The sequence below is a fragment of the Homo sapiens genome, chromosome 1, assembly GCF_000001405.40.
Source record: "Homo sapiens chromosome 1, GRCh38.p14 Primary Assembly".
In the NCBI taxonomy this organism is placed as follows: domain Eukaryota; kingdom Metazoa; phylum Chordata; class Mammalia; order Primates; family Hominidae; genus Homo; species Homo sapiens.
In genome coordinates this window covers 28,547,308-28,552,796 of record NC_000001.11, presented here as the reverse complement: position 1 = coordinate 28,552,796, position 5,489 = coordinate 28,547,308, and positions in this window count along the sequence as shown.

Here is a 5,489-nt window from a genome sequence, read left to right as displayed (position 1 = left end):
ACAAAACTACACACACACACTCGTCTGACTTTATATAGAAAACAAAACCACACACACACAGACACATATAATTACAACATTAATATATGCTCGTTAGGGCTGGGCACGGTGGCTCACGCCTGTAATCCCAGCACTTGAGGAGGCCGAGGCGGGCGGATCACGAGGTGAAGAAATCGAGACCATCCTCGCCAACAGGGGGAAACCCCCTCTCTACTAAAAGTACGAAAATTAGCGGGCGTGGTGGCGAGCGCTGGTAGTCGCAGCTACTCGGGAGACTGAGGCAGGAGAATCGCTTAAACCCAGGGGGCAGAAGTTGCAGTGAGCCGAGATAGCGCCATTGCACCGCAGCCTGGTGACAGAGCAAGACTCCATATATATACATACACACACACACACACATACACATATATATACACATATATACACATATACACACATAATACACATATACACATATATACACACATACACATATATATACATATATACACACACACACACACATATATATGTATGCTCGTTACTTGGGTTAATTTCTGACTTTACATATTTAGAAAACAAACAAGGCCGGGCGCGGTGGCTCACGCCTGTAATCCCAACACTTTGGGAGGCCGAGGTGGGCAGATCACGAGGTCAGGAGATCGAGACCATCCTGGCCAACATGGTGAAACCCCGTCTCTACTAAAAATACAGAAATTAGCCGGGTATGATGGTGTGCACTTGTAGTCCCAGCTACTCAGGTGGCTGAGACAGGATAATCACTTGAACCCGGGAGGCAGAGGCTGCAGTGAGCCGAGATCGCGCCACTGCACTCCAGCCTGGGCGACAGAGTGAGACTCTGTCTCAAATTAAAAAAAAAACAAAAAACAAAAAACATACACACGTACACACACACACAAACACACACATAATTACAACATTAATATATGCTCGTTGTAAAAAACTGCAGATACAAGTGCATCCAAAAAAGTGAAAATATCCCTCCGGACAACCCGGTTCCACTACCTCCCTATTGTTACCAGGGGTTCTTAGGCTCTCAATCCAACAGAAATTAACATGAGGCCAAAAAAGTTTTCCCAGACAAGTCTTCATTGGAGCTTATGCCTGGGTATAAGGGAGGCAGCACAAGAGAGCGAGAATTCCCTGACTCTCCGAAAAGAGCTGGTTGAGATGTTTTATTGGGCAAAGCACGGAAAGTGATATCAAGTGTAGGGTTTACAGGCTGGGCAGGACAAAGCTCATGAGGGTGGGGTATGAAGGTCAGCATATCCTGTTGTAATGATTATCTTTTTTTTTTTTTTTGAGACGGAGTCTTCCTTTGTCGCCCAGGCTGGAGTGCAATGGCACAATCTCGGCTCAGAATAGCTAGAATCTAGCCTCCTGGGTTCTAGCTATTCTCCTGCTTCACCTCCTGAGTAGCTGGGATTACAGGCGCCCACCACCAGGCACAGCTAATTTTTGTATTTTCAGTAGAGACGGGGTTTCACCATGTTGGTCAGGCTGGTCTCGAACTCCTGACCTGAGGTGATCCACCCACCTCGGCCTCCCAAAGTGCTGGGATTACAGGCGTGAGCCACCCATCGCGCCCAGCCAATGATTATCTTTAGTACTGGGCTACCTGGTAGTTTGGCTGTCAGCAACAAGGCTGTAAATGAAGTTTTCAGCATTTCTTCCTGAGATGAGACATTCCACAACCTTGGTTGGATAATTTGGATCTCCTAAGGCCAGATCCTAGAATTATTTTTATTTTATTTATTTATTTATTTATTCAGTTGGTCAGTCATTCTGAGAGAGGGTCTCTCTCTGTCGCCCAGGCTGGAGCGCATTGGCACAATCTTGGCTTATTGCAGCCTCAAACTCCCGGACTCAAGTGATCCTCCTGCCTCAGCCTCCAGAGTAGCTGGCACTACAGGTGTGCACCCCCACAGCTGGCTAATTTTTTTTTTTTTGCAGAGAGGAGAGCTCACTATGTTGGCCAAGCTCATTTTGGACTCCTAGGCTCAAGCGATCCTCCTGCCTTGGCCTCCCAAAGTGCTGGGATTATAGGTGTGAGCCACAGCGCCCAGCCTCTTTTTTCTTTTCTTTCTTTTTTTTTTTTTTTTTTTTTTTTTGTTTGAGACGGATTACAGCCACCTGCCACCATGCCTGGCTAGTTTTTTTTTTTTTTTTTTTTTTTTTTTATTTTTAGAAGAGGCAGGGTTTCACTATGTTGGCCAGGCTGGTCTAGAACTCCTGACCTCATGATCCCCCCACTGTGGCCTCCCAAAGTGCTGGGATTACAGGCGTGAGCCACCACGCCTGGCTTCTTTTTTCTGCTTTCTTTTTTTTTTGTAGATCCTGGAATTCTTTAATTAAAGGGCATGGTTACACATTATAAGAGCACAAAAGAACAATATATAATGGCTATTTTTCTTTATATGACTAAAGCCTCAGAGTTAGTGGGTATGGTGGTGTGGGTTTTTGTTTTTTCTTTTGAGACAGAGTCTCGCTCTCGCCCTGGCTGGAGTGCAGTGGTGTGATCTCAGCTCACTGCAAGCTCCGCCTCCCAGGTTCATGCCAGTCTCCTGCCTCAGCCTCCCAAGTAGCTGGGACTACAGGCGCCCACTACCATGCCTGGCTAGTTTTTTTGTATTTTTAGTAGAGACGGGGTTTCACCGTATTAGCCAGGATGATCTCAATCTCCTGACCTCGTGATCCACCCACCTCAGCCTCCCAAAGTGCTGGCATTACAGGCGTGAGCCACCACGCCCACCAATTTTTTTGTATTTTTAATAGAGACGGGGTTTTGCCATGTTGGCCAGGCTGGTCTCAAACTCCTGTCCTCAGGTGATCCATCTGCCTCAGCCTTTCCAAGTGTTGAGATTACAGGCGTCAGCCACCATGCCTGGCATCCTTATGAGAATCTAATACCTGATGATCTGTCACTGTCTCCCAACAACCCCAGAGGGGACTGTCTAGTTGCAGGAAAACAAGCTCAGGGCTCCCACTGATTCTACATTATGGTGAGTTATATAATCATTTCATTATATATTACAACGTTACATTAATAATAATAAAGTGCACAATAAATGTAATGCGCTTGAGTAATCCCCAAACCATCCCCTGTCCGTGGAAATTGTCTTCCACAAAACCAGTCCCTGGTGCCAAAAAAGGTTGGGAACTGCTGCTCTAGTCTTGGTGAGCTGAAGCCAAGCCCTGTTCTTACTGTCTCACTGTGACCCAGGGCAAGCCACTGCTCTGTGCAAGCCATTCCCTCACTCCAGGTTTACCAGTCTGAAAAACATGAGTCTTGTTGGAGCCGGAATGGGATTCTTCCTTCATTCCCATATAGGGCCCTGGGGTGGGAGGTGGGAAGAATTAAAAGGAGTGTAAATTGGAGTAACCTTGTCATCTGGCAACCAATCAGTCCCCAAGTTCTGTCACTCTATTTTTATTTATTTATTTATTTATTTTTGAGATGAAGTTTTGCTCCTGTTGCCCAGGCTGGTGTGCAGTGGTGCTATCCTGGTCACTGCAACCTTTGCCTCCTGGGTTCAAGCGATCCTCCTGCCTCAGCCTCCCAAGTAGCTAGGATTACAGGCTGGCGCCACCACGCCCAGCTAATTTTTGTATTTTTAGTAGAGATGGGGTTTCACCATGTTGGCCAGGCTGGTCTTGAACTCTTGACCTCAGGTGAACCACCTGTTTGGGCCTCCCAAAGTGCTAGGATTACAGGTGTGAGCCACAGCTCCCGGCCTCTATTTTCTTGAGTCCCACTACCCTACTCCAAATCACCTGGAGTTCTGACTAGTCCCAGAACAGTGACCTGCCCACAGTGTGCCGTCATAAACACAATTTAGATGGCTAGACAATCCAGACAGTTTAATTTTGAGATGCTCCTACTCTGGGAGTATCCCAGGCCTCTGACTTACTTTGGTGCCCAGTCGTCAGTATGGAAAGCTTCTTCTGTATGTAGTAATTGGCATCTCTGACAGTGAAACCCACTCCAAGTGTTTTAAGGCCACTTTCTGGGGCTCCCTCTGGACTAATGGGCACCCAAAGTCCTTTCCTACCAGTCTATACATCCTCAACTTAGGATGTTGTGCTCTCAAGCCAGAGACTCATCAGTCTGAAAACCTGAGGTTCAACCACGAGTTGCCATATTTCTGGCCGTATCCTACCATCACTGCAATAGTAGTGTAGTGGTTAGGCATTTTGGCTGTAGATTCAAACAAATGGAGCATAATCCCGGCCCCACCTCTTGCTAATTATTTATTTAACTTCTGGGCCTAATGTGGATAGTGCTTACTTACCCCACAGGGTGGTTGTGAGGAAAAAAATAAGTTGGGAAAGTACTTGGCCCAATGCCTAGCATTCAGTAAATCCTCCAACATGGCAGTTGGAAGCCTTAAAATTATAACTGACAGCTATTAATTTAGTATTATTTGCCAGTCACTGTGCTGTGCTCTTTATTAAAAAAATTTATTTTTGGCCAGGTGCAGGGGCTCACACCTGTAATCCCAGCACTTTGGGAGGTGGAGGCAGGCAGATCACCTGAGGTCAGGAGTTTGAGACCAGCCTGGCCAACATGGTGAAACCCCATCTCTACTAAAAATACAAAAATTAGCTGGGCATGGTGGCACGTGCCTGTAATCCCAGCTACTCAGGAGGCTGAGACATGAGAATTGCTTGAGCCCAGGAGGCGGAGGCTGCAGTGAACCAAGATCATGCCACTGCACTCCAGCCTGGGGGACAGAGAGACACTCTGTCTTAAAAAAATGGAAAGAGACAGTGGTCTCTTACCCTCTGCCCCCGAATTCCCACTCCCTTGAGTCGACTATTTCCAAGTCTTTTTCCTAGAACCTACCTGTGTATTTTAAAATATATACTTTCTACTACACTACTTTTTTACTTGCAGTTTCAGGTATTTAGTGGCTGCCCCCTCCCCATATACATAGACACTTATCTCTCCATCTCCTATGTTTTCTTTTCTTTTTTTTTTTTTTTCGAGATAGAGTCTTGCTCTGTCACCCAGGCTGGAGTGTGCAGTGGCGCGATCTCGGCTTACTGCAAGCTCTGTCTCCCAGGTTCACGCCATTCTCCTGCCTCAGCCTCCCAAGTAGCTGGGACTACAGGCACCCGCCACCACGCCCGGCTAATTTTTTGTATTTTTTTAGTAGAGACGGGGTTTCACCATGTTAGCCAGGATGGTCTCGATCTCTTGACCTCGTGATCTGCCCACCTCAGCCTCCCAAAGTACTGAGATTACAGGCGTGAACCACTGCGCCTGGCTTTTTTTTTTTTTTTTTTTTTGAGATGGAATTTAGCTCTTGTTGCCCAGGCTGAAGTGCAATGGCGTGATCTTGGCTCACTGCAATCTCCTCCTCCCGGGTTCAAGCGATTCTCCTGCCTCAGCCTCCTGAGTAGCTAGGATTACAGGCATGCGCCACCATGCCCAGCTAATTTTGTATTTTTAGTAGAGATGGGGTTTCTCCAAGTTGGTCAGGCTG